The sequence below is a fragment of the Homo sapiens genome, chromosome 22 (genome assembly GCF_000001405.40).
Source record: "Homo sapiens chromosome 22, GRCh38.p14 Primary Assembly".
In the NCBI taxonomy this organism is placed as follows: domain Eukaryota; kingdom Metazoa; phylum Chordata; class Mammalia; order Primates; family Hominidae; genus Homo; species Homo sapiens.
Genome location: NC_000022.11, coordinates 44789967 through 44816669, shown reverse-complemented (window position 1 = coordinate 44816669; position 26703 = coordinate 44789967). Strand labels below are relative to the sequence as shown.

At 54.2% G+C, this 26703-nt stretch overlaps 2 protein-coding genes across 4 annotated transcripts in view, besides 4 other annotated features; both read right to left on the bottom strand.

Annotated features, from left to right (window-relative positions):
- PRR5-ARHGAP8 (PRR5-ARHGAP8 readthrough) overlaps positions 1-26703 on the bottom strand; it is a 160581-nt gene that overhangs the window by 46115 nt on the left and 87763 nt on the right. Inside the window, exons 6-8 of the mRNA NM_181334.6 lie at positions 14506-14593; positions 8232-8363; positions 1912-1998 (exon numbers count right to left, since the gene is read on the bottom strand). Coding sequence (NP_851851.3) covers positions 1912-1998; positions 8232-8363; positions 14506-14593 — 307 coding nt within the window. The remainder of the gene's footprint in view (positions 1-1911; positions 1999-8231; positions 8364-14505; positions 14594-26703) is intronic.
- The window catches only part of ARHGAP8 (Rho GTPase activating protein 8), a 110210-nt gene that overhangs the window by 46115 nt on the left and 37392 nt on the right, over positions 1-26703 (bottom strand). For 2 of the 3 annotated variants that reach the window (NM_181335.3, NM_001198726.2), the window contains exons 3-5: positions 14506-14593; positions 8232-8363; positions 1912-1998 (exon numbers count right to left, since the gene is read on the bottom strand). In NM_181335.3, the coding sequence (NP_851852.2) occupies positions 1912-1998; positions 8232-8363; positions 14506-14593 (307 nt within the window). Of the gene's footprint in view, positions 1-1911; positions 1999-7571; positions 7665-8231; positions 8364-14505; positions 14594-26703 lie in introns of all 3 variants that reach the window. The other variant, NM_001017526.2, reaches the window with a different exon arrangement.
- Positions 251-879: an enhancer, noted in NCBI's record as "H3K4me1 hESC enhancer chr22:45211671-45212299 (GRCh37/hg19 assembly coordinates)". NCBI's record gives its function as "activates a minimal SCP1, AML or CMV promoter by ChIP-STARR-seq in primed H9 embryonic stem cells {active_cell/tissue: H9 hESC(primed)}" and the evidence as "EXISTENCE:reporter gene assay evidence [ECO:0000049][PMID:30033119]".
- Positions 9066-9621: an enhancer, noted in NCBI's record as "H3K4me1 hESC enhancer chr22:45202929-45203484 (GRCh37/hg19 assembly coordinates)". NCBI's record gives its function as "activates a minimal SCP1, AML or CMV promoter by ChIP-STARR-seq in primed H9 embryonic stem cells {active_cell/tissue: H9 hESC(primed)}" and the evidence as "EXISTENCE:reporter gene assay evidence [ECO:0000049][PMID:30033119]".
- Positions 9622-10177: an enhancer, noted in NCBI's record as "H3K4me1 hESC enhancer chr22:45202373-45202928 (GRCh37/hg19 assembly coordinates)". NCBI's record gives its function as "activates a minimal SCP1, AML or CMV promoter by ChIP-STARR-seq in naive H9 embryonic stem cells {active_cell/tissue: H9 hESC(naive)}" and the evidence as "EXISTENCE:reporter gene assay evidence [ECO:0000049][PMID:30033119]".
- Positions 15219-15753: an enhancer, noted in NCBI's record as "H3K27ac-H3K4me1 hESC enhancer chr22:45196797-45197331 (GRCh37/hg19 assembly coordinates)". NCBI's record gives its function as "activates a minimal SCP1, AML or CMV promoter by ChIP-STARR-seq in naive H9 embryonic stem cells {active_cell/tissue: H9 hESC(naive)}" and the evidence as "EXISTENCE:reporter gene assay evidence [ECO:0000049][PMID:30033119]".

The window sequence follows — 26703 nt, the reverse complement described above, 5'->3', positions numbered from 1 at the left end:
CACATCCGGCTAATTTTTATATTTTTTATAGAGGTGGGGCTCACTTTCTTGCCCAGGTCACACTCCTGGGCTCAAGTGATCCTCCTGCCTTGGCCTCCCAAAGTGCTATGATTAGTAGCATGAGCCACTGTGTCTGGCTGCAGAGTAGCTCTCGATGTGCCCAAGGACCAGTGCTTGCCAACATTCCTCTGAGTACCAGTCACATTAAGAGACAAAGGGACACAGGGACAAGGGTGGGACGGGGCAGTGTAGCCCTTGGGGCGGGAGACGGCTGGTGGGAAGACAGGCAGGTGCCTGAGAGCCTGAGCTGTCCATGCTCCTGGGGGGCCGAGATGCTTCCCAGGGATGGATGGGGAAATGGGAAGGAGACAGTGTGGATTCCGAGGTCCCAGCTGGCATTCCAGCTCTGTCTGAGTGCTCCCTGTACACGGAGCGTCACACCCACTCACACGGTGTCTGTGGGGCACGAGAAGAGACCTGTGTCAGCAGCAGCCTCAGAGCCACGAGTGGGCTTCAACAAGTGGAAGGAGCCGAGGGGGGAGATGGCAAAGGCCTGTGAGATGCAAACCTCTGGGGAAGAATGACGACCCCTCCAGGGATGCGCCTCCCTGTCCCCAGAGGCTTCATCCTAGGGAGGCCCTCCAGGAGTCCTCCCGCCCTCTCACAGAGGCAGCCACCTCACCTGGCTATCCTGACCCGTCTGGTGCACACCTGCGCCCTCCTGCTCTGAGCCCCTCCCTCGCCTGCAGAACTCACCCAGGGAGGGCCAGAGCCACCGTGCAAGAACGACATCTGTCAGTCTCTTCCCCACCCCACCCCCGTCATGTGGCTCTGTGCACACAGTTTGTGCCTGATGCATACAGCCAAAACGGAAGAAAATACAAGATGCCCATGCGACCCAGGCAGAGCCTCCCAGGCCTCACGAGCCCCTTGAGCTCTTGCTTCCCAATACTGAGGCAGAAATCCTTTAGCAGGAACAAGTCTAAATATGGAAGAAGCTGACTGAAGTCGCCACATTTCCGGGCTGTGGCTGCCTTTCTTTAGGCCGCTTATTTGGGTTGCTATGCAATCAAGGCTTAACTCAGCAGGCTGGGGGTGTCCAAGCCCCACACGTTCCAAAGAGAAGGCTGGCCATGGGTGACCTGCTCCTGGGTGGAAACCTCTCAGCTCCTGGGAGAGTCGGCCTGGTAATGTCTTTGCCCACCGGGAACCTTGGGCCAACACCACAGAGTTTGTGCCAACAATGTGATTGAGGGCGGGGGCCTTGGGTGGGTTTTATTTGTCTCATCTCAGGAGGGGCTGGAGACCGAGTGGCTGAGGTCAGCCGGGTGGATGCTCCGTGCCTACATGACTGACCCGCAACAAAAACCCTGGGCACCAAGGCTCGGTGAGCTTCCGCGGCCAGCCATGCTCCCTCCTCCCCCACACATTCCTGCTGGGAGAATGGAGCACTGCCTGTATGAATCCGCCCGGAGAGGGCAGCTGGGAACTTGCACTTGGTCCTCCTGGACTCAGCCTTGTGTGCCTTTTACCTTTGCTGACTTAAATCTGTGCCCTGTCTCTGTAACAGACCACAACAGTGAAGATAACAGCTTTCCTGACATCTGTGAGTCCCTCTGGAAAATCACGGCACCTGAGGGTGGTCACACAGTGTGGGGGCTCAGGCAAAGGGGGGCTTTTAAACACCAGGTGCAAACCCCACAGGTGCCAAAGGCCGGCACTGCACTCCTGTCCATGACCTGGGCTGGCCTTGTGACCCCCCGCAGACCCCAGGGCGGGTAGGGAGCCCCAGATACACAGGCACCCTGGAGACGGGCCCTCCATGATGCGTGGATAGGGAAGGCCGTCCCATGGACCCTGAGGGGTGAAACCTCCAACCCCAGCGAGGTCCTCTCCCAGAGTGACGCATACCTGATGAGGGGCTTCAAGATGTTCCACAGGACCTTGATGAAGCTGGTGGGGTGCACCACGTAGAGGGCCTTCAAGTTCTTCTTGTACCTGAGGAGGGAAACGGGGGATGACTTCAGGCTGCCGCGCTCCGAGAAACACCCCACGCCCAATAACCCTGAAACAGCTGCCTCCACTGTGAGTCTCAGAATGTTACTCCTCTCAACAGGATCAATTTAAGGACATCAAACAAAGAATGAAATAAACTCGGGGAAAATCAGGACCCCTCACCTGCTGCCCCCGCCAGGCATGCCTGCAGCGCTTTAGTTCGCCGAGGCACAGCTGCAAGTCGGAGCCCTGTTTATAGGCGCTCACTCACACCAGGGTCGGGGGTGGCTGGAGCACATCCTGGGGGCAATTTGGCAACAGCTCTCAGAATTAAAACCGCACAGAGCCTCTTGGCCAACACCTGCCCTGCCAGGAGCTGACCTGGGCTAGAAGGAGCTCACCGTGTTGGTTATGATGGCAGATAAACCCGGCAATAACCTAAACATCAGCCGGCCAGAGGCCGGTTCAATGCAATACAGCCACCCACACATTGGAACACCCAGTGAACTTCTCTCTCTCCCTCCTTCCCAGTCTCCATGCTTCCTTCTTGAATATTTCAGCCCAAAGCCATCAGGTTGGGGAAGAAAGGTAGGCAGCCAACCAGGGTGGGGATGGGGGCAGAGGACATGCCAGGGCTCTAGAGGGTGAGTGGGGGACGGTGTGTCCTGCTGGGGAGACACAGCCCAGGAGGCGAGAAGGGGCATCCACATGGCCTGCGTGGGGTCAGCCTGCAGGACGCCAGAGCCACCTCTTATCCACTCACACGGGCTGTCAAAATTTCAGGAATTTTTGGAAGCCAATTGTGTATGTGTGTAGACGTATGTAAGTCTAAGTGTGTAGGTGTGTGTAGCTCTATGTAAGTGTATGTAACTGTAATTGTATGTGTGTGTAGGTGTATGTAGGTGTAAGTGTATATAGGTGTGTATGTAGGTGTGTGTAGGTGTAAGTGTATGAAAGTGTGTGTAGGTGTACCTACATATGTGTAGGTATACCTAGGGGTGTGTAGGTGTATTTAGGTGTGTGGGTGTGTGTGTAGGTGTGTGTAGATATAAGTAAGCGTAAGTGTGTGTAGGTGTATGTAGCTGTAAGTGGTGTGTGTGTAGTTGTATGTAGGTGTATGTGTATATAAGTGTATAGTATACGTAGGTGTGTATATGTATGTGTATGTAGGTGTAAGTGTATGTACATGTAGGTGTCTGTATGTGGGTGTATGTACTGTAGGTGGGTATGTGTGTATGTAGGTGTAAGTGTATGTACATGTAGGTGTCTGTATGTGGGTGTATGTACTGTAGGTGGGTATGTGTGTATGTAGGTGTGTGTAAGTGTATGTATATGTAGGTGTCTGTATGTATGTGTATGCAGGTGTATGTACTGTATCCAGGTGTGTATGTGTGTATGTAGGGGTGTGTGTGTGTGTGTAAGTGTATGTATATGTACATTCACACACACATACCCTAACTCTGTCCACTGAAAGGGCCTGGGAGCCATAACACCCCAAAAGCAACAAGCACTCCGCTTGTCCAGATCTTGGTCTCTAAATAGCATTCTCCACTACAGGGAGCCAGGGCGACTGTGCTCCTTGGAGAATGGCAGATTCCTGAGCTGGAGCAAGAAAAATACAAGATAAGCCTGGCATATCCTGTGCCAGAAAGTAAAGGAAGCACTCAAAGAGTGAGGGGGAGTGTCAGAAGGACCTGGGAGTCCTTAAAACGGCACCCACATGGGCAAATTTGGGACAATTTGATCATTAAAATGATAGTAATGGATTGTAACTCAATGAATAAAATAGGACATTTTACACATGTCCACACTGAGATAAATAAGTGAGGAGAAGAAAAAGCTCTTCCCTTCGTCAGATGCCGAGTGCTCATCAGACCACCATTGGCTGCCATCATATGAACAACTAAGCCAAGCAGCAGCAATGAAAGTGAAAAGTATTTTGACAAGGAGCAGGATATTTATATAATCTCAAAGCATCTCTCCAAGAAATGTTAATTAACTAATTTTAAAAAGGCTCTGAGGCAGGGCGCGGTGGCTCACACCTGTAATCCCAACTCTTTGGGAGGCTGAGGCGGGCGGATCACGAGGTCAAGAGATGGAGACCATCCTGGCCAACATGGTGAAAACCCGTCTCCACTAAAAATACAAAAATTAGCCGGGCGTGGTAGTGCACACCTGTAGTCCCAGCCACTCAGGAGGCTGAGGCAGGAGAATCACTTGAACCCAGGAGGCAGAGGTTGCCGTGAGCCAAGATCGCGCCACTGCACTCCAGCCTGGTGACAGAGCAAGACTCCGTCTCAAAAAAAAAAACAGAAAGCAAAAAAAAAAAAAGGCTCTGAGAGGAGGGGCGGGGCGGGGGGCAGTAGCAGTGGCTTCCAGAGTCTCCAGGAGCCCAGAGGGCAGCTGCTGCAAGGTTCACCCTGAGACTGAGCTTCCAGTGGCTTCCATTAGTTGCCACCCATGGCAGGAGCTCTTTGGTGAGGCAAGCACTCCCAGAAGTGGGGTCATGAACACTTGCGTGCGAATTTGTTCACCCCTAAAAGGAATGACCTGGCAGGACGGTCTGGAGGATGAGAAGCCAAAGGCAGAGAGAACAGAAAAGAATGCAGGAAACCTGATGGGGTGTGGCAATGGCCGACTGAAAACCCTCACTGCATAAATCTTTTTTTTTTTTTTTTGAAACAGAGTTTCACTCTGTTGCCCAGGATGGAGTGCGGTGGCGCGATCTCAGCTCACTGCAACCTCTGCCTCCCAGGTTCAAGGGATTCTTATATCTCAGCCTCCCGAGTAGCAGAGATTACAGGCGTGCACCACCACGCCTGGCTAATTTTTTGTATTTTTAGTAGAGATGGGGTTTCACCATGTTGGCCAGACTGGTCTCGAAATCCTGACCTCAAATGACTCACCCGCCTCAGACTCCCAAAGTGCTGGGATTACAGGCGATCTCATCTAATTCTATTTGGAGCACCACTCGCATACCTCTAGCGATGGGGAACTCAGCACCCCTGCAGACATTACACTTTTGGGTAGTTTGATGCCTAGAGTGTCCCTCCTTTTTGCTTCTACTGAGCCAAGATCTGTAACGCTAACCCTAACCCCTACCCCTATCCAACCTCCCGGGGAGTGGGAGAGTCACACAGAACAAGTCTGCCTCTTTCCATCTGATGCCTTGAAGGCCACGGCTGCCACCTTCCTCTCTTCCCTGCCTAGTCCCCTCTGGCCAAGGTTAAATGACCGCCGATTGGAAGTCACTGCTTCAAGTCTCTCCACCTGCGTGGCTCCACTTATCAACGCCCTTCAATGTGAGAGCTCTGACAGCCTCCCCAGGTTGCCACGAGGCCGGCCTCCTTCCCCGGGCTGGTGCCGTTACCTTTGGCTTTGTCACTGCTCACAGGTCACTGCTGGCAACACAGATTCCAACTCCCCGGCTAGATTTCATCCATCGACCACTGGCACATCTTACCTGGCTGTGAAGGAATTCTGCTGCTTTCTCCCAAGCGGGAGTGACCCACTCCTTATGTGCGAACCAGCAGCCCCCTCGAGAAAGGGAAGGGAAAGCACCCTGGGCTGATTACGGGTTTGTTTCTCTGGGCTGATTTCTGGCAACTGAGAAGTGGGGGAGCTGCCTCAAGGAATCTGCGGGTGCATCTTCGTTTCTCACGTGGGGAAGTGCAGAGGGCAAAACCTTCATCTGCTTTAGCTCAAGACAGGGCTACTGTGCACATCCTGCTGTGAGCCTGAGCCTCCTGAAAGGGCTGCTTTAAACACATCACTCGCTTCTCCTCAAGCACCTGCCATGGCTCCCTGCTGCCTCTTAAACACAGTCCAGCATCCTCTGTGCCCCTCCCTCCTTTGCTGCCTCCCTCCACGGCTCCCCACGGGAACCCTACAGACCAGACCCCCACCAATTGCACCAAAGTCCACCCTGCTCTTTCTTGCATCTGGCCACACCTCGTACCAGAAGCAAAATCCAGTGATTGCCACTTCACAACACCCTGCCCACCACTCCACAGGCAGCTCAAAGGCTGCTTCCTCCATGCAGCCTTCCTGATTACGCCAGCTGGAACCTTGGTACTTCCTGCCAGTACCACTTCACTCCTCTATCCTCCCATCTAACGCTTAATAAAAGCCTGCCGGCTGGGCACAGTGGCTCACGCCTGTAATCCCGGCACTTTGGGAGGCCAAGGCAGGCGGATCACGAGGTCAGGAGTTCAAGACCAGCCTGGCCAACATAGTGAAACCCCGTCTCTACTAAAAATACAAAAATTAGCCGGGCATGGTGGCTCACGCCTGTAGTCCCAGGTACTCAGGAGGCTGAGGCAGGAGAATCACTTGAACCTGGGAGGTGGAGGTTGTGGTGAGCCGAGATCTCGCCACTGTGCTCCAGCCCAGGCAATAGAATGAGACTCTGTCTCAAAAAAAAAAAAAAAAAAAAAAAGGCTGCCATATGCAGATCCTTTCCCACCTGCAAGGGATGCAGAGACAGGTCCGGGATCACAGCCTAGTGCAGGAGGCAGACCTGTTCACAAACCCCTAAGTGCTAGCTAGGATTGGTGTCTGCTTAGGCACAGTGAGGCTGCAGGGAAGGGGCTATTGATTCTCCCAGGACAACCCAGGAAGCCTTCCTGGAGGAGGACATGCGCTGGGGCTAGGCCATCTCCAGCTTATACAGGTGCCCAGTAAATGACTGCAAAATACAGCAACAATTCTTTCCCTAAGACATAGGATGGGGAACCAAGAAGTCCCTCCGAAGGTCCTATTGATAATGACAGCAGGACCCAAAAGGCAACTGGAGGGAGGACTTCTGGGACATTCAGGCACTGCCTTCCACTGTCCCACTGACTCAGATATCTGTGAAGCAGATTTCTGTTACAGGTTTGAAAGGACTTTGAAGAAGGAAAACCCAGAGGAATCTAGGATATCCACATCAACGCCCATCGCCGCAGTCTACGAGCCAGATATATTGCCAAGTTGATTATTAGGCCGGACGTCCCTCAGGAAAAGTCTGCCGGCTCCAGGCCATGGCCAAGCGGTGAGTAGCGTTGGGTGGGAGAGGGAGGCGGGGGCCTGGGGTGGGATCCTGCCCTACCACACACAAGCTGAGTGACCACGGGTAAGTCACTTGCTCCCTGGGGCCTATGTCCTCATCTGTAAAATGAGGCTGCCATCTCACCAACAAGAGGCATCAGAATGCCCCTTGCAGACTGTAAAGGGCTGTGAAAGCAAGAAGAGGCTTTAGTGAAGAAACGGTCATGCAGTTGTTTCTTTGCCAGTAATTCACTGGACCAGGGGTGGGAGAATGGGCAGGCAGGATGAACCTAGCCTGCTTCCTGCTTTGGTACAGGCTGCAAGCTAAAAATGGCTTTTTATGTTTTTAAGTGGTTGAAAAAAAAAAACAGAAGAATATTTCATGACACGTGAAAATGACATGAAATTCACATTTCAGCGTCCATAATGTTTTACTGGAACACAGTCCAGCAGAGTTGTTGCAATAGAGCAACAGGCCTGCAAAGCTAAAATGCTGACTGTCTGGCCCTTTAAGAACAAGAGTGTTGGCTTGGCATGGTGGCTCCTGCCTGTAATCCCAGTACTTTGGGAGGCTGAGGTGGGAGGATCGCTTGAGCTTGGAGTTCGAGACCAGCCTGGGCCACATAGTGAGATCCCCGTCTCTACAAAAAAAAATACAAAAATTAGCTAGGCATGGTGGTGAACGCCTGTAGTCCCAGCTACTCAGGAGGCTGAGGCAAGAGGACTGCTTGAGCCCAGGAGGCCGAGGCTGCAGTGAACCATGATTGCACCACTGCACTCCAGCCTGGGCAACAGGGCGAGACTGTCTCTGTTTTTGTTTTTGGTTTTTTTTTTTTTGTATTTTTACTAGAGACAGGGTTTCGCCATGTTGGCCAGCCTGGTCTCGAACTCCTGACCTCAGGTGATCCACCCACCTTGGCCTCCCAAAGTACTGGGATTACAGGTGTGAGCCATGGTGGCTGGGTGAGACCGTCTCTTAAAAAAAAGAAAGAAAGAAAAAAAAAAATGAGTGCCAACCCCTGCCCGGGATTCCAGAGCTTGGCCCAGAGGGGAGGTGAACCTCCACTGCCCCACATTTGCTCACCCTCCACCCTCCGCCCTACCAGACCCCTCCCCCACTGCACACTCTGCGACCCCTTGTGGCCACAATGCCTCCTCCTGCCACAAGCAGCCCACACCCACGTCCCTGAAGGCTTGCGGGCACGTACTTCCTATCGAACTCCTTGTATGCGCTCTGGAGCCAGCCCAGGGAAGGCTTGTTCCGGCTGTTCAGCCCGTAGTGGAAATAGACGATGGTATAATCGTTCTCAACGTATTGGTCCAGTGTGTACTTCAAATACCTGGGCACAACACAGAAGATTCAGTTATGAAAATCACCTACTCATTATTGAAACCAAACGTGCTTTCCCTATAATGGAAGCTATGGTCACCCAGTAGGTGCCAGCACCGGGCCACATGGAGACTCCATGCACCGTGGGCCCCGGTCCTCATTTCCCAGATGACATCTGAGGCTCAGAGACGTTAAGTGACTTATCTAAAGTCACACAGCTAGTAAGTGGATGTGGTAGGCCAGATTGTTGCCCGTGGAAAGACATCCATATCAAATCCGTGGAGCCTGAGAATGTGACCTTATCTGGGAAAAAGGTCTTTGTAGGTGCAATTAAATTTAGGACCTTGAGAGGAGGGGCTCATCCTGGACTACCCAGGTGGACCTTCAGTGCAATCACATGCATCCTTCTAAGGCAGACACGAAGATGAGAAGTCAGAGGGCGGAAGGTCACGTAAAGACGGAGGCAAAGCAGAGTGTCGACGACAGCATGATGTGGCCACCAGCCCTGGAAGGCCCAGGACTGCTGACAGCCTTTATGGGCTGGACAGGCAAGGAAGGGCTTCTCCCTTCCCAGGGAGCACGGCCCTGGCCACACCTCAATTTTGAACTTCTGGCATCCAGAACTGTGAGAGAATACATTTCTGGTTTTACGCCACCACATTTGCGATCATGGTTACGGCAGCCCCGGGAAACTCACAAGGAGGATGAGCTGGGATTTGAACCCAGGAATGCTTGACTGCTCAGCCCTTGCCGTTGACCCCCAACACCACAGGCCCTTCTACCTCAGACACCCGGCTGCCTGCTGCATTTCTAAGGCAAGCAATTCCTTCCCTCCAGGTGAGCTCCTAACATTTTGCTTTTCATTACAAAGCCAGAGTCCTGACACTGTGCTCTGCGTCTGTCGCCCGCCACCCCCTATGGTGTAGGCTCTACCCATTTCCCATGGACCACGTTCCATCCTGCCCTGCTGCACCTAGCAAGCACTGTCTTCATGTCACCTGTGGGAAAGGGCTTGCCCTGCCATCTGCAGAAGGAAGGGCTCCAGAAGGACCCCCTAACCCTCCACCAGCACTCTGCAGGGCCTGACACTGAGCCGGTCAGGCCATGATCCCTCAGCTCAGGTTGTCCAGGTTCTCACCTGGAGCACATCTTGTAATTAACCCACCCACGTGGCCCCACTCTCTGAGGCTGTGGGTGGGGTGCTCTGCAGACAGAAGCTCCCAGAACTGCCTCGGGAGAAAGCCGCAGCAGCCTGTGCCCACCTGCAGAGGCTCGGCTGGTCCCGCACTGCCCGGAAGCCTGGAGACCAAGGATGCCAGCTTCTCCTGTGTGCGTTTGATTTCTTTTTTTTTTTTTTTTGAGACAGAGTCTGTCACCCAGGCTGGAGTGCAGTGGTGTGATCTCGGCTCACTGCAAGCTCCGCCTCCTGGATTCACGCCGTTCTCGTGCCTCAGCCTCCTGAGTAGCTGGGACTACAGGCGCCTGCCACCACGCCCGGCTAATTTTTTTTAATTACTATTATTTTTAGTAGAGGCGGGGTTTCACTGAGTTAGCCAGGATGGTCTTGATCTTCTGACCTCGTGATCCACCCGCCTCGGCCTCCCAAAGTGCTGGGATTACAGGCATGAGCCACCGTGCCCGGCCTGTGCGTTTGATTTCTAAGTGATGTCAGAGTGCCCTCTGACAAAAGCCCATACCACCTGAACTGCAGGCCTTCTACACGTTTAATTCTCCCAATGACCCTAGGAGCCAGGTACTATTATCTCCATTTTATAGACAAGTCAACTGAGACTCACAGAGGTGAATCAGTAAGGGGCAGAGCTGGGCTTTGAACCAAGTGGCCTGGCTCCAGCTTCCACACACTCAGCGTCTCTGAGAACTGTGGGCTGCCATCCACGCCTGCTCCCATCCCGTTGTCTGCTTTGATGTAGAGAAATCACGCACATCTGACCTCACACCATGCATGATTTCAGCTCACCCGTTGTGGAAGTAACTTCAAAACTCATTTTCCAGAGTGCTGTCTCGAACACCATGTGGGCTAAGCCACCGGGGCATACTTCACCAAGGTCATCCTTTATTGAGTCACTTTCTCAGAAAAACCCAGGTCGAGACTTCCACCTGAACACAGAGGGGTGGAAGAGTCCACGAACCACTGAGAACTCTTCACTCCTCCTCACTTCTCAGGATAGCCACTTTTGTATTTCGCAAATGACTTTTTCAAGAGAGGGAAACTGAGGCCAATGTCTTTGCACAGCTCCTCTTCCCACTCTGGGCGCCTCCTTGTAAAAGCAGGCACCCTTCCTTTGGCCCCAGCGCTGGGCTCTCCCCAGTGCCTTCTGTTCAGCACACTGAAATCCTCTGAGTGTCAATGCATCTGCCCGCGTGCTCAGCACAGGAAGTCATTAACTAAATTACTAGTTGGGTTTCAAAGACATAGACTTGTTTCTTCACCCGCTTCAAAAATAGGAGCATGCATCTGGCCACAAGAAAGCCATCCGGTTGGAATGGATAGGGAGGATAATGTACGGGGTGTTAATTTTTTTCATAAAGGCTGCGGAGAAGTAAGCCTGATGGCTCTTCTTATCAAGGCCGAGAAGCCCACAGAGCACCTTTGCATGAGTTAGAAAAAGATGCCTTTTCCTCTGGGCAGATGCTTGTCCCACGCTGAGTGAAAAAAGCACCAGGTGATGGTAGCTTCTCATCTGGTTAGCCTTGTGCTGTGAACAACCTATACAACTGTTCATGGAAGCCATGCTTACTACTTCCACCTAATAGTAAAGGAATCTTGGATAAGCACATAAAAGAGCACAAGGTACCAATTTGTTGTCAGGGGTGCTTTTTGTCCAATTTAGTTGAAATTCACATAACATAAATTAACCACTTTCAAGTGAACAATTCAGGCATCTAGTACATTCACAAAGCTGTGCAATTACCCCCTCTCTACAGCTCTGAAACACTGTTATCACCCCAAAAGAAAACTGAGACCTGTTCAACAGTCATTCTCCCCATCACACTCCCGGTACCCGGCAACCACCAATTCGCTTTCTGTCTTTGCAGGCACTTTTGTCTTTATAAGAACAGCAAATCGTGAGCTCATTCCTGGCCCAGCAGCAGCCTCCTCGGGGAGAGCTGACCCACAGGTCACAGGTCTTTCCGTGCCTAAATGACCTGACAAGGGAATGCGTCCTCTCAAGAGGACCCCAGGAGACGAGCTCTTCCTGGATCTAGCATCCATCTCTCCCTGTGTGCCTGGTAAACACCAAGAGTGGGCTGCAGGCTGGCATCGGCTCCTCACTGGGGTGAGCACCTCCTGGGGAAAGCCAGCCTCACTGTCTGGGGTAATCAGCACCAGGATCCAAGCTCGCCCCATGAATCCTGCAGGTCTCGCCGTGCAGCAGCAGCACTGGTGCACTGGTGGAAGTCGCTCCCGGCACCTGCTCCCCGCCAGGTCTCTGCCTTTGCCACTGCAGTTTCAGCTGTGGTCAGAAGATTCTTTAACAGACCAGATAGAATGCATATATTGGGGGGACTCTCATGAAGCAACCAGCCCAAAGTCTTCTGGGTGCTTCTATGTCCGATCATGCCTTTGTTCATCTTGAGTTGGGGGTTCCAGGTCGAGCCCACTCCCTGAGTCCCTTGGCTTTAGCAGTTAGATGCTGGCATCTGGAAGTGGTGGCAGGCACAGCCTCCCCGCCAGGGTCACGTCCTGAGCTGTCCCCAGCAGTGAGGGAGTCTGCAGCAGGCCAGGTGCCGTGCTCCCTGTCCTCACAAGGGCACATAAATGTTTCCAGGGACACCCAGAGATCGGCCAGGGCTTGGCCTCAGAAATGAAGCTCAATCAGTTCATTGTCGGGGAGCAAATTCCAAGGCCCTCAGAACCTAACTTCCCTTCACTAAGACTGAGCTTCTCCCCTGGGCCTGGGGGCCTCTCACTCACACAGACAGGGATTCCAGCAGAGGTGCTGCTCTCGCTATTTTGCCAACTCTCCCCCAGCAGCAGCTCTCCTGGGCCGGGGAGTTTCACCAGGAAGGAGGCTCGGTGGCCGCCTTATGAAAGCAGTGTGGCCAGCACAGCAGACACCAGCAGCAAGGGACAGATGAAAGAGGATGACAGGGCGCCCAAGGCCATACACAGGTGAGGAACAGGTGGTTCCTTCTGAGCAATGGGAAACGGCCAATGCAGAGGGTGCAGGGTGCGAGGCCCATGTGGCTTTGAGGAGGGTGATGGAGGGAGGGAAGGAAGCAGGCAGACCTAAGAGGGCGTGAGGCCCGGGCCCACGCTCAAGACTGTGGACCCAAAGCTGCTTTGGGCTGGAGAAGGCTCAGTCCTGCAGGTGGGTCTGGTGGCCTGGGGGTCATGTGACAGCCATCTAAGGACCCATGAGTCAATCTACTTTAGGTTAGTCTTTCACTCTGAACACCCAGTCTGTGCTGAGCATGTGACTTAGTCAACTTAGTGATGGAGAAGCGTGTGCACAAGAGGTGTGTGTGTATGAGAGCAGGTATGTGTGCACAGGAGGGGGTGTGTTCCTGGGAGGGGGTGTGTGCATGGGAGGGGGTGTGTGCATGGGAGAGGGTGGGTGCATGAGAGGAGGTGCATGCATGGGGGGGTGTGTTCCTGGGAGGGGGTGTGTGCACGGGAGGGGGTGTGTGCATGGGAGGGGGTGTGTGCATGGGAGGTGGTGTCTGCATAGTGGTGGGGGGTGGAGAGAGGACAGCCACAGTAGGGGACTGGCACAGAACGCAGGTAAGCACACAAGGGGACATATGCAAGGGACGATGTGTTTGGGGGTGCTGCATGCAAAGGCTGGGGGAACAGAAGGTGTAGACCCAGGAGGGGTAATGTACAGGGAGAGGCCACACACAGCTTTGGTGGCTATGAGGGCCCCTGGGCCCGTCCCTTCAAAGGGTTCTGTTCAATGCAGTAAAAGGTTCCTTGCCCAAGTTAGTTTGGGAAACTGCCTGAGACCTCCCCTTCTGAATGCTCCTGATGCTTGTTGGTATGGCAAACTAACAACAACCTTGATTTTCTACGGCCCCCCACCCTGTACCAGCTGTGGAGCCCATGCGCACCTGGGTGGCACTGGGAGTGTACAAGGGACATGGGGCCCAGGCACCCCCTCACTCGGCCCCTTCCACGTCCTGCCACCTTCTGTCTCAGAGTCATTTCCTGGCCTTAGTTCTCCCACCCCAAACCACAGGGGTGATTTCCTCAGTTCACAGGTGGGCCCTGATACAGTGACTATCTATCCAAAGTCTCACATACAGTAGGCGCTCAATAGATGCCTGCTGAGCCAGTGGTGGCGGCAGCAGCAGCAGCAGCAGCAGCAGGCCCTTGTCTTCTGTCCTGGGTTTGAATGCCACCCCTCAAAATTCCACCCAAAACCTCAGAGTGTGACCTTATTCGGAAATAGGGTCTTTGCTGGTGCAATGAGTTCAGATGAGGTGCCATGGAGTTAGAGTGGCTCTAGTCCCGTGGCTGGTGTCCTTATGAGATGGGAAGACACAGAGGCAAAAAGGCCATGTGAAGACCGAGGCAGAGATAGGAATGAGGTGGCCACAAGTCATCTGGGGCCCCCTGGAGCTGGAAGAGGCCAGAAGCTCCCCCGCAGCCTCCAGGGGGAGTGTAGCCCTGCCGCTGCCTTGACCTTGGGGACTGGTGCCCTCCAGAACCATGGAGGATCCACTCAGAGCATTTTAAGTTGCCAAGCATGTGGTCATTTGTTATGGCCACTACAGGAAACTCACACAGCTCTGAAGGTGTTCCCAGAGAGAGGCCCAGGGAGGTTTCAAAGGGACAGTGCGTGGGGGAGGCCTGGCGCTCGGCAGCCGTGTCATCTGCAAGGTTCGCCTACACCTAGGACCAGGGGACTGTCCCCAACTCCAAAGGGAGGCACCCACAGCTCGGGTGGCTAAAAGGAAACAAAACCTGGCTCCCACTGTGCTAATGAATGGTGCACAGAAGCCCAGGGACCAGGGGTGTCCACAGTTGGCCCTCGGGTAGGCTCATGAGTGCAAGAGCTCTGCACACCAGCAAGGTCACAAAGGAGGCCCCAGACCACAGCAGATGACTCAGAGTGAGGTGGGGTGAAGGGATGGGGACAAGCAACATGGAGAGACAGGGACAGAAAGAGAGGGGGCAGAACACTTACTCCAGCAGCCGCTGGTGGTCCAGCTCGTGGGAGGGTGGCATCCGGCAGCAGCTGAACGTGACAACACGTCTTCCAAAGCGGTCATCCCCTGGAGGAGCAGACACAGGTGAGCCTCTGTGCCACCTTCTCCTAGAAAATCCTCAGGCACTTAGCAAAAAGCAGCCTCCTTGGCCAGTCCAGCCCGAGCTGGGAGGCACAGGCAGCAGCGTTCCTCGGAGGCGACACCTGCTGAGTGAGCATCCATCACCTGTGGCTTTATGCACGTGGTCCAAGTTCATCTTCATGACCAGCCGTACGCTGGAAATAATCCCCCCACTTTACAGATAGAAAACCGAGGCCCAGCAGGGTTAAGTCATCAGTGCAGAGCCAGCTGGCAGGCGGCACCAAGGACTTAAATCGAGACGCATCTGACTTCAAAGGCAGGGTGTAGCCACTCTACCTCCTCCTCCAACCCCCCACCCCATGATTCTGGGCCATGGTGGAGGCCAGGGTGGCCTGGGGGACAATGGCTCCTGGGCATGACCTCATGTCGGGGGTACAGGAGCCCTCTCAGGAATGCAGATGCTCAGCCCTGCCGTCCATTATGGCCCGGGTCACCATGTGCTACAACAGTCTCTTGACACATCTGTGCCCCTCACACATAGACAGCTGCGGGGAGAGGTGCCCCCACACATAGACAGCTGCGGGGAGAGGTGCCCCCACACACGGACAGCTGCGGGGAGAGGTGCCCCCACACATGGACAGCTGTGGGGAGGGGCGCCCCCCACACATGGACAGCTGCGGGGAGAGGTGCCCCCACACATAGACAGCTGCGGGGAGAGGTGCCCCTCACACATAGACAGCTGCGGGGAGAGGTGCCCCCACACAAAGACAGCTGCGGGGAGAGGCGCCCCTCACACATAGACAGCTGCGGGGAGAGGCGCCCCCACACATGGACAGCTGCGGGGAGAGGCGCCCCCACACATGGACAGCTGCGGGGAGGGGCGCCCCCCACACATGGACAGCTGCGGGGAGAGGTGCCCCCACACATGGACAGCTGCGGGGAGAGGTGCCCCCACACATGGACAGCTGCGGGGAGAGGTGCCCCTCACACATGGACAGCTGCGGGGAGAGGTGCCCCCACACAGCTGCGGGGAGAGGCGGCCCCCACACACGGACAGCTGCGGGGAGAGGCGGCCCCCACACACGGACAGCTGCGGGGAGAGGCGGCCCCCACACACGGACAGCTGCGGGGAGAGGCGGCCCCCACACACGGACAGCTGCGGGGAGAGGCGGCCCCCACACACGGACAGCTGCGGGGAGAGGCGCCCCCCACACACGGACAGCTGCGGGGAGAGGCGGCCCCCACACACGGACAGCTGCGGGGAGAGGCGGCCCCCACACACGGACAGCTGCGGGGAGAGGCGGCCCCCACACACGGACAGCTGCGGGGAGAGGCACCCCCTCACACGGACAGCTGCGGGGAGGGGCGCCCCCCACACATGGACAGCTGCGGGGAGGGGCGCCCCCCACACATGGACAGCTGCGGGGAGGGGCGCCCCCCACACATGGACAGCTGCGGGGAGGGGCGCCCCCCACACATGGACAGCTGCGGGGAGGGGCGCCCCCCACACATGGACAGCTGCGGGGAGGGGTGCCCCCCACATATGGACAGCTGCGGGGAGGGGTACCCCTTGAGAGCTGGGACTGGGTCTGCTTATCTCTGTCCTCAGAATCCAGGCTCCGGGCCAGGCGCTTAGTGAGATAAAAAGACAGATCAGGCCGGGTGCAGTGGCTCATGTCTGTAATCCCAGTACTTTGGGAGGCCGAGGCGGGCAGATCACTTGAGGTCAGGAGTTCGAGACCAGCCTGGCCAGCATGGTGAAACCCCATCTCTACTAAAAATACAAAAAAATTAGCCAGGCGTGGTGGCACATGTCTACAGTCCTAGCTACCTGGGAGGCTGAGGCAGGAGAATGGCTTGAACCCGGAAGGCAGAGGTTGCAGCGAGCCAAGATTGCATCATTGCACTCCAGCATGGACAACAGAGCAAGAATTTGTCTCAAAAAAAAAAAAAAAAAAAAAGACAGAACAGACTCCTGAAGGAGAGGGCCCTGCAGACCATCCTCCATGCCTGCAGACCATCCTCCGTGCCTGCAGACACAGCTGCCTCTCCTCTCCCAGCCCCAACCCCACCTTGCCCCACCCCACAAGTGGCCAGAAGAGGTTGGAGACCTCATGGTTCAGACTTTCCTCCTCTCTCTGCCCAGGGCCCTGAGACAGAGGACCCCCTGCATGCAGGACACCCTGGGGAAGGCCCTGACAGTGACTCAAGTGCAGTCTGATGTCACCACCCACCCCCCACCCCCTGGATTCTCAGCACTTTCTCACTCCACGGCCACGGCTCAGGGACACGGAGAACAGATGGGCCGCCCCGCTTCCCAGAACCCACAGCTTCTTCATTACAATTAAACACACAAGGACACAGGTAAGAACAGCCTGAGGCACATGTGCCAAGGGTGAAAACAGGGCACAAAGGGGTACAGGCAGCAGTGGGGAGGGAGCCAAACCCACACCAGGCTGTCGTCAGGAGTGGGGAACACGGAGATCCCTCCACTGCTGGTCCACGAGGCCCCTACCTCTGCCCCCGAGGACCTGGCCCAGCAGCCTTCCTTCAGTTCTTCAAGGGCATCCTCCTGCCTGAGCTTCCACCTGGAATGCTCTCCCGCCTCCTTGCTGACTCTACACCCCTTCCCACTAAACCCCACCTCTGCAGAAAAGCTGTTGCCCCCCGCATCCGCAATGCCCTCTGGCCGGTCTGTGGACATGCCGTTGCATATGGGAGCAGCTCCTCTGGCTGTGAGCACAGAGGCAGGGGCTCCAACCCCAGTGGTACAGGCCCAGGAGGGGTAATGTACAGGGAGAGGCCACACGCAGCCTTGGTGGCTTTGAAGGCCCCTGGGCTCATCCCTTCAAAGGGCTCTGCTCAATGCAGTAAAAGGTTCCTTGGCCAAGGTTCCAGGCCCAGCACAGGGGCGGGGGGCTGTACAAAGGGGCCCAGGCCCTGGCTTCTGTGAGGGTGCTCATCTCCCAGGAGACCTTGGGGGCCCCCCAGGTGGGGGCTGGGGATGGGAAGCCTGGAGCAGGGTGCAGCCCCTCCTCCCAGCACTTTCTGCTCCCTCTTCCTTTCCTCACACAGGAGTGGGAAGACCCACACCTGCACCTTCCAGGACGAAAGCATTCACATTTTTAAAAGTCCAGCTCCTCGTTGCACATGCCTGTAATCCCAGCTACTCGGGAGGCTGAGGCAGGAAATTGCTTGAACCCGGGAAGCGGAGGTTGCAGTGAGCAGAGATTGCACCACTGCACTCCAGCCTGGTGAAGGAGCAAGACTCCCTCTCAAAAAAAAAAGTCCAGCTCCTCAGTGGCACTCGCCACATTTCAGGTGTCCAGCAGTCACGCACGGTGGGGGCTGCCCTGGACAAGGCAGGGATGGAGCGTGTCCAGCACAGAGAACGTTCCACTGGGCAGCGCTGATCTTGAGGGTGCAGATTAGGTGTGGACCTCAGGGAAGGGGCTGTGGGGCCGCTCAGTCCACCTCTAACCCTGTGTAGTGGGGGAAGAGTACCCCAGCCCTACCCAAAAAAAAAAAAAAACGCAAGTCCCCCTGGACCCTCAGAATGTGACACTGGAAACAGGGTCACTGCAGATCTAATTAGCTAAGGATCAAGATAAGATTATCCTGGATTTAGCGTAGGCTTCAAATCTAATGACTGGAGGCACAGTGGCTCACGCCTGTAATCCCAGCAGCATTTTGGGGGCCAAGATGGGAGGATCACTTGAGCCCAGGAGTTCAAGACCAGCCTGGGCAACATAATGAGACCTTCCTTGTCTCTAAAAAAATTTTTTTGGCCAGGTGCAGTGGCTCACTCATGTAATTCCAGCACTTTGGGAGGCCGAGGTGGGTGGATCACCCTAGGTGAGGAGTTCGAGACCAGCCTGGCTAACATGGTGAAACCCCATCTCTACTAAAAATAAAAAATTAGCTGGGTGTGGTGGTGCACGCCTGTAGTCCCAGCTACTCAGGAAGCTGAGGCAGGAGAATCTCTTGAACTCGGGAGGTGGAGGTTGCAGTGAGCTGAGATCACACCAATGCACTCTAGCCTGGGCAAGAGTGAGACTTTGTCTCAAAAAAAAAAAAAAAAATCTTATTGGCCAGGTGCGGTGGCTCACGCCTGTAATCCCAGCACTTTGGGAGGCTGAGGTGGAAGGCTCACTTGAGCTCAGGAATTCGAGGCTGCAGTGAGCTAGGATCACGCCACTACACTGCAGCCTGGGCAACAGAGTGAGACCCTGTCTCTTGAAAAAAAAATTACACACTTGCGTGCACACACGTACTCACATGCACACTGGCATGAGCGCACACACACGCGCGCACAGTGTGTGAACTCTTTGATGTCCCCGCCCTGGCTGCCTGGCCAGGGGGCTGTCTTTTATTTACGCCACGCATCTGATTCTTCCCAGGAGCCTGGAAGCTACTCCGAGGTTTGGAATCCTAGAGCAATTTCACAGCTTCCAAATACAGCATCCTCTTCATTTCACAGTTCCTTACGAATTCTGGTCACGCTTTCCATTTGTTTAGCAAGCTTCTGTTTTAAAGGGCTGCACTGCAAGCCACACTTTTATTTGCTTCCCTTGCCAAGTGGGAGTTTTCAGGCACAAAATCTTCAATGGCTATGCCTGAAAGTAGAGTGTTTTCCAGACAAAGTGTCTACCACCGCGGAGGCCAGGGTTCCATGGCTGACCCGGAGCCTGAGCCCTCCTCCTGTGGAATAACAGAGGAAAGAACAACTTTGCTCCTAAAGTGATGGGTGATTTATAAGGCTACTGAAGAAACAAGGAGTCAAATCAATGCCTTTAGGGTTGAAAGAGAAAGATAACATCAGGATTAAAAAAAAAAAAAAAAAAGCCAAGTAGCATTATCATGTCTGGAATCAGACCAAGTGCAAGTCTTGGGGGATGTGCCAGATAATTGGACCAATGGAAGATCAGCTCAACCAGCATTTGTTGGGGGCCCACTGTATACTCAGCTCCGGGGAGAGAAGATGAGACACGGCCCCTGCCAGGCCCCAGGGTCCAGGGGAAAGGGATCCGGGGGAAATGGGAGGTCTATGCCCAGCCCCACAAGAACCGTGGGAGCCCTGGCAGCCACACCCATCATCTATGTCTGCAACGGCTTGTATCTGGGCTTAGACCACCCTTCACAGGTTGAGGGCACCCCCATGAGAAGGCCACCCACGCATCTGACAAGCTGCCTACAAATCTAGGGGTTCCTACAATCCCTTCACATTTGATAATTTGCTAGAATGACTTGGAGAGCTCAGGAAGGCACTAGACTTAACAATCACAGCTTTATTACGAACAATGCAATTCAGGACCAGCCATAGGAAGAGACGCGCAGGGTAAGGTCTGGGAGCGTCCTGGACTCAGAGCGTCTGTGACTTCTCCCGTGGAGTTAAGAGGCCTCCCCTTTGGGCCCATCATCATAGCATCACCAACTGGGGGAGCGAGGGGCCAACGGAACCTCTGGAAATCCAGGGCCCCCATTGAAGCTTCATTTCTTCAGTGGGATTGATGGGATCACAGGCCACAGAGTGAACTCAGCCTCCAGCCCCTCCCTTCCTGGAGGTCTTAGAGCCCCCCACCCCCGCCATGAATAACAAAAATACTCCTTTCACTTGGGAAATTCCAAAGACTTAGAGCTACCTCGAGGGAACTGGGGACGAGGGCCAGCCGCATTCCGAATGATACAGCATCGGCCCACCCTGCACCCCAGCCCACCATCAGCTGCCCCCGAGGAGCAAACTGTGGGGGCCTCCACCCACCAGGCACAGAGATGCAGCAGAGGCCGGTCTCCAGCAAGAGCAGAGGCAGCAGAAGCAGGGACGGCGGGCAGTGGCTTTGCTGCCCAGCTCCAGGCCATTCCCGGGAGCAGAACAGCGTCTGCTCTGGGACCCCTGGTCACTGAGGAACCTCAGGGGGTGTTCAGAGATCACAGATGTGCTTCCCTGGGCTACTGGGACCCAAATGGGAGGGAGGGTCAAGGTCGCCAGGGCAAGGACTGAGGTCTGACTTTTTCTATTGACCCTGGGAAGCCAGGTGAGGAGGGGGAGGGACAGCCTACAGCAAGGCCAGTGGAGGCTGCAGACATGGAAAGGAGTAGGGATCCCAGGGACAGTGGCAAGGCCACTTACAGGGGAGAGGACACAGGAGGAGGAGCTGCCTGTGCATGTGTGGGCAAGTGGGGCTGCGGTGCCACCTGGGGTGGGGGAGGGGCTGGGAGGCTTGTGGGAGGAGCAGCCCCCCAGACTGGGTGGGTCCCGGGAGGTGTCCTGGGAGGCCTGGTGGGAGAACATGGCTCAGACCTGGTGTCCAAGAAAGAGAAGCCTGTGGGCCACAATGGGCCACCGCAGGTCTTTGGCAGCTTTTCCGCAGGTCCCAGCACCCTCCTTCTCACACCTACAGGCTCATCCCAAACCAGGGGGCTCCCCTCTGCCTCCCGCCCTCGTCTGGTTTGCAGGTGGTGGGGAGGGGAGGGCTCGTGGCCTGCCAGCGCACCAGTGCCTATTGCTGGTGAGGGGGCTTTGTGCTGTCTGGGGTAGTGTGGGGAGGGGACCTGTGGCTCTGGTCAGCTGGCCCAGAGGGTAGAGGGGGGTGTGGGGTGAAGCCAAGATAAGCAGGTAATGATGAATTCCCACCTGAGAAACTTGGACTCAGTTCAGCCAGCCACAGGGCCCGAGGTACCCAACCACGCCATGGGCCCCCTCCACCCTGCCATCTGCAATGAGGGTAAGAGGGTCCCAGGGCAGAGTACGGCACATGCAAAGACACCCCAGCCCAGAGCCCACACTGGGTCACGTCCCTGTTCCTCACAAGCATCCTGCTTGCATACAGTGCTGACTCATTCATTCAATAAACACTTATTAAACACCTACTGTTTGCAGAGCCCATGGTCTTGCATGATACTGAACTCTGAGAGTGAGCTGTTGTTGAAGGCTTTTTACTCCCTCCCAAACCAGAAGGGCAACTAATTTGGTATTTTGTTTTCATACCAACAGATTTCGTTTTTTGTTTTTTTTTTTTTTGAGACAGAGTTTGGCTGTGTCACCCAGGCTGGAGTGCAGTGGCATGATCATAACTTACTGCAGCCTTGACCTCCTGGGCTCAAACGATCCTCCCTTCTCAGCCTCCCAAGTAGCTGGGATTACAGGCTCGAGCTAAAGCACCTGGCTCATATCAATAGATTTCTAAATGTCCTTCCAAGTGAACACACAGCATTATTCAGATCTCATAAGCTTATGAAGCTTAGAGCAAGTGCCATGACAGAGAAGTTGGGTTCCTTATTCTATTATTTCTACATCTGTAGCATTTGAAAATTTCCATAATAAAGTATATTATTATTATTATTATTTTTCTGAGACGGAGTCTTGCTTTGTCACCCAGGCTGGAGTGCAGTGGCCCAATCTCGGCTCACAGCAACCTCCATCTCCTGGGTTCAAGCAATTCTTCTGCCTCAGCCTCCACGGTAGCTGGGACTACAGGTGCGCACCACCATGCCTGGCTAATTTTTTGTATTTTTAGTAGAGATGAGGTTTCGCCATGTTGGCCAGGCTGGTCTCGAACTCCTGACTTCATGATCTGCCTGCCTCGGCCTCCCAAAGTGCTGGGATTACAGGTGTGAGCCACCGTGCCTGGCCAATAAAAAGTTTAAAAGAGAGAGAGAGAAAAAAAGCAAAGGGCTGTACCCAGCCTGCCAGGGTAGAATCTCTTCCTCTGCCCAATCCCTGGCTGAGCTGGGCTGGCGCCTCTTTGGTCATCTGCAATACGGAAATAATAATGAAACTGACTTGGAGGGTTACAGGAAGGGTTAAATCAATAACCTGCATGAAGTCTTGGCACGGCCCCAGAACACAGTAAGTGCACTGTGAGCTGTTACCACGGACCAGGTAGGATGCTGGGTGCTTCCAGAAGTGCTGTGTCCCATCTTCTCATTTACAGGTGAGAAAACTGAGGCCCAGAGGCCAAGTGAGCGTCAGGGTGGGTTGACGCGAGCAGCTGGCCGAGGCTGACTCCCAGCCAAGCCTCCGCGCCTTCCTCTGCCCTGCGCATGCCCCGCACTGAGGCCGGCCTCCCTCGCTCCCTCGGTCTCCCCAGCAGCTGAGAGGAATCCCCGGAACCTTCAACCTTCCCACTTATTAAGCCATCAATGCCGCATCTGTGTTGATGCCATCAGTCAATATGAGTAAATACCCTTCGCTGTTCTCTGGGAACACAGGCCAGCACATCAAAACCAGGCTTCAATATGATATAATATGGAAGGAAATGAAAACTATCAATAAAATGCAAATTCTGCAAGGCATCAGATGAATTCATGACCCCTGTTTCTCCCCTCGCTGTTTACAACACCACATCACTCACTGTCTCTGCAATAGGAGAAGCCTGGTTTATGAATAAAGAAACGATTCCCACAGCCATTACCCACAGGGTGCGTGGGGCGAGTCATCATTCTCTCCCAGCGGACGGCGATTAAAACGCATCATAAAGGCAGTAGCAATCTATCGGGAGGGAGTCGCAAGTTTGCTATGGTTTTTGTTTGAAGTTGCCAACCATTTTTGCAAAAGTGGAAGGAGAGCTGAAGACCCCTTTAGGCCTGCGTGCTGCAGGAAAGCCCAGCCGGCAACGGAATGGGTTGTGTGCCAAAAGATCCGAACCCAGGGCGGTGGATGTGTGTTGTCCTGCAGGGCCAGGTCCGGCGTGGACTTCTCTCCCTCTCCCCTGCCACTCACCACCCTCCACGTCTCTGAGCGTCTACCTCTACCTCTTCTGGTCCTCAGACCTGGAACCTTCCATCCCCCACCCTGCTTCACACCACCTGATGGATCTCCACTCTGAGCTCCCAGCCTCAGCCCCAGACCAGAGCTTCAGACTCTGAAACACATGCTCAGCCCCACAATGACCACTTCTTAAGATACTGAAGTCAACTTTATTTACAAAACACTATTCTGGCCAGGTGCGGTGGCTCATGCCTATAATCTCAGGACTTTGGGAGGCTAAGGTGGGAGGATCCCGAGGTCAGGATTTCGAGACTAACCTGGCCAACATGATGAAACCTCATCTTTACTAAAAATACAAAAATTAGCTGGGCATGGTGGCAGGCACCTATAATCCCAGCTACTCAGGAGGCTGAGGCAGGAGAATCACTTGAACCTGGGAGGCAGAAGTTGCAGTGAGCCGAGATTGCGCCACTGCACTCCAGCCTGAGCAACAGAGTAAGACTTCATCTCAAAAAAAAAAAACCAAAAAAACAAAAAAAACCACCACCACCACCACCACTGTCGTTAGTGTCAAAATTCTACAAAGCTTCCATTTGGCCAAGCATATGGTCACTCAAGTAGGGAGAGATCATTCAAAATTCCTTTTGACAGGAGTCTGGTTTCTGGCTGTGGTTCCAGATGTTGGTCATGGGGGAAGCAGCAGCTGGGACAGAAAAATTCAGAAATGCGTTGGTGGGGAGTGACATCTAGTCACACCTGAAGGACGCAGGAGAGCCCTTGGCCGAAGAAGTCCTGGAGGGGTCCATGCCACGCCCTGGAGGAGCAGGAGGGCAGGGGGTTCCTGGTCCTGAACTGTCCCCCTGGGCCCACAGAAAACTCAGGTGCATGAACTGCACTTAGGGTACGAGAGAACGAAGCTGATGCCAAGGTGAGGCCCAGGAGGAGGAAGGGGAGAGGCCTCTGTTCTGCCAAGAACAGTCCTCAGTGAGGGGCCATCTGGGGATGTTCTCTGCTGGTTGTCCCAACTGAAAAAGCAACTGGAGGCCGGGTGCAGTGGCTCACGCCTGTAATCCCAGCACTTTGGGAGGCCGAGGCAGGTGGATCATGAGGTCAGGAGTTCAAGACCAGCCTGACCAACATGATGAAACCCCATCTCTACTAAAAATACAAAAATTAGCCAGGCGTGGTGGTGGGTGCCTGTAATCTCAGCTACTCGGGAGGCTGAGGCAGAGAATCGCTTGAACCTGGGAGGTGGAGGTTGCAGTGAGCTGAGATCGCACCACTGCACTCCAGCCTGGGCAACAGAGCAAGACTCCATCTAAAAAAAAAAGAAAGAAAGAAAGAAGAAAAAGAAGAAAAAGCTGCTGGCAATTGGAAGTTTTGCTGTAATAATTTTCTCTGTATCCAATGCACCTGCATTGGAATGTTTAGATTTTTCTTGCTTTGGTGCTTTGACTGTAAACTCTATTTCACCCAAGTGGAGAGTGGCTTCCACTAAGCTCTTCTCCAGGCACCTCCATCCTTGTTGTTCCTGATGACTGCTGGTTAAGGCCGGCATCTTTTCAGGATGGCTGAGGCCCTCATATGGTCTCTTGATATGGTTAAGTTTCTCAAGAAGCTGGGGGTATTTTTGTTTGTTTGTTTTTTGAGATGGAGTTTTGCTCTTATTACCCAGGCTGGAGTGCAATGATGCAATCTCGGCTCACTGCAACCTCCGCCTCCTGGGTTCAAGCCATTCTCCCGCCTCAGCCTCCCAAGTAGCGGGGATTACAGGTGCCCACCATCACGCCCGGCTAATTTGTGTATTTTTAGTACATACGGGGTTTCACCATATTGGTCAGGCTGGTCTCGAACTCCTGATCTCAGGTGATCCACCTGACTCATCCCCCCAAAGTGCTGGGATTACAGGCACGAGCCACTGCGCCCGGCGAAGCTGGGTTTTAAATAAGTGAAAACTCTGCTCCAACACAAGAGAACTATCTAAAAGCTGAAGACTGCTTCCTGTGCCATCATCTCCCAAGGAAGTCTGCAGCATCGAGGCCCTGGCTCAAGTGTCGACTCTGACAACTTCATATACTCCCCGGGAGGAGCACACACCCCAGCACAGCGCACAGCCCCCTAATGACACGGAAGGACCACAGTAGACTGCACTGAAATCCCACAACAACATCCCTCCCAGGCTAAACCCTGGCAGGTCCTCTTGTTCCAATTAGTTTTCTTTTTGCTGGGAGAAGGATGAATAATCTGGAAGGTTCCCAGTCCCCGGGGTACCCACCGGGAGAGCAAGTGGAGGGAGGCACATTGAAGAAGAAGGCCAAGTTCCAGGTGCGGTGGCTCACGCCTGTAATCCTGGCACTTTGGGAGGCCAATGAGGGTGGATTGCCTGAGCTCAGGAGTTTGAGACCAGCCTGGGCAACACGGTGAAACCCTGTCTCTACTAAAATACAAAAAATTAGTTGGGCATGGCGGCACGTGCCTGTAGTCCCAGCTACTCGGGAGGCTGAGGCAAGAGAATCCCTTGAACCCGGGAGGCGGACATTGCAGTGAGCCAAGATCATGCCACTGCACTCCAGCCTGGGAGAGAGTGCAAGACTCCGTCTCCAAAAAAAAAAAAAAAAACGGCCAGGTTCTTTCCCAGGGCTCCCCCTTCTCTTTTTTTTTTTTTTTTTTTTTTTGAGACAGAGTTTTGCTCTTGTTGTCCAGGCTGGAGTGCAATGGTGTGATCTTGGCTCACTGCAACCTCGGTCTCCCGGGTTCAAGCGATTCTCCTGTTTCAGCCTCCCAAGTAGCTGGGATTACAGATATGTGCCACCACACCTGGCTAATTTTTGTATTTTTAGTAGAGACGGGGTTTCACCATGTTGGGCAGGCTGGTCTCGAACTTCTGACCTCAGGTGACCCGCCTTCCTTGGGCTTCTAAAGTACTGGGATTACAGGCATGAACCATGGCCTGTAGGTGGCCTGGCCACCTCTTCTCTTAATTTAAACTCTTCCTTTACACCCCTGGAAACCTCATCCCATGTGACAACCCTCACCCCCAGTTTTTGGTTTCAGCTAGGCCACCAGCTGGACGTTTTTAAAAACATCTCTCAAATCCATGCCCTCCTCTGCATCCCACTGCCACGACATTAACTCAAACCTCTATTCTTGCTCTTACTGGCCTCCCTGACTCCAGTAGCTGCCGTCATCATTCTCCAACCCCAGAGACTTCTAAATTATACATCTGATTACATCCGTCCTATGTTTAATGTGCCCCAGAGCCACCATGACCAAATGCAAATTCCTCTGCTGACCCTCCCAGGCTTTGACAATGTGATTTCTGCTATATGTCCATCTTGCAATTAAAGTTTTTAAAAAACGTTTAGTGATAAGCTGTTTGTAACAG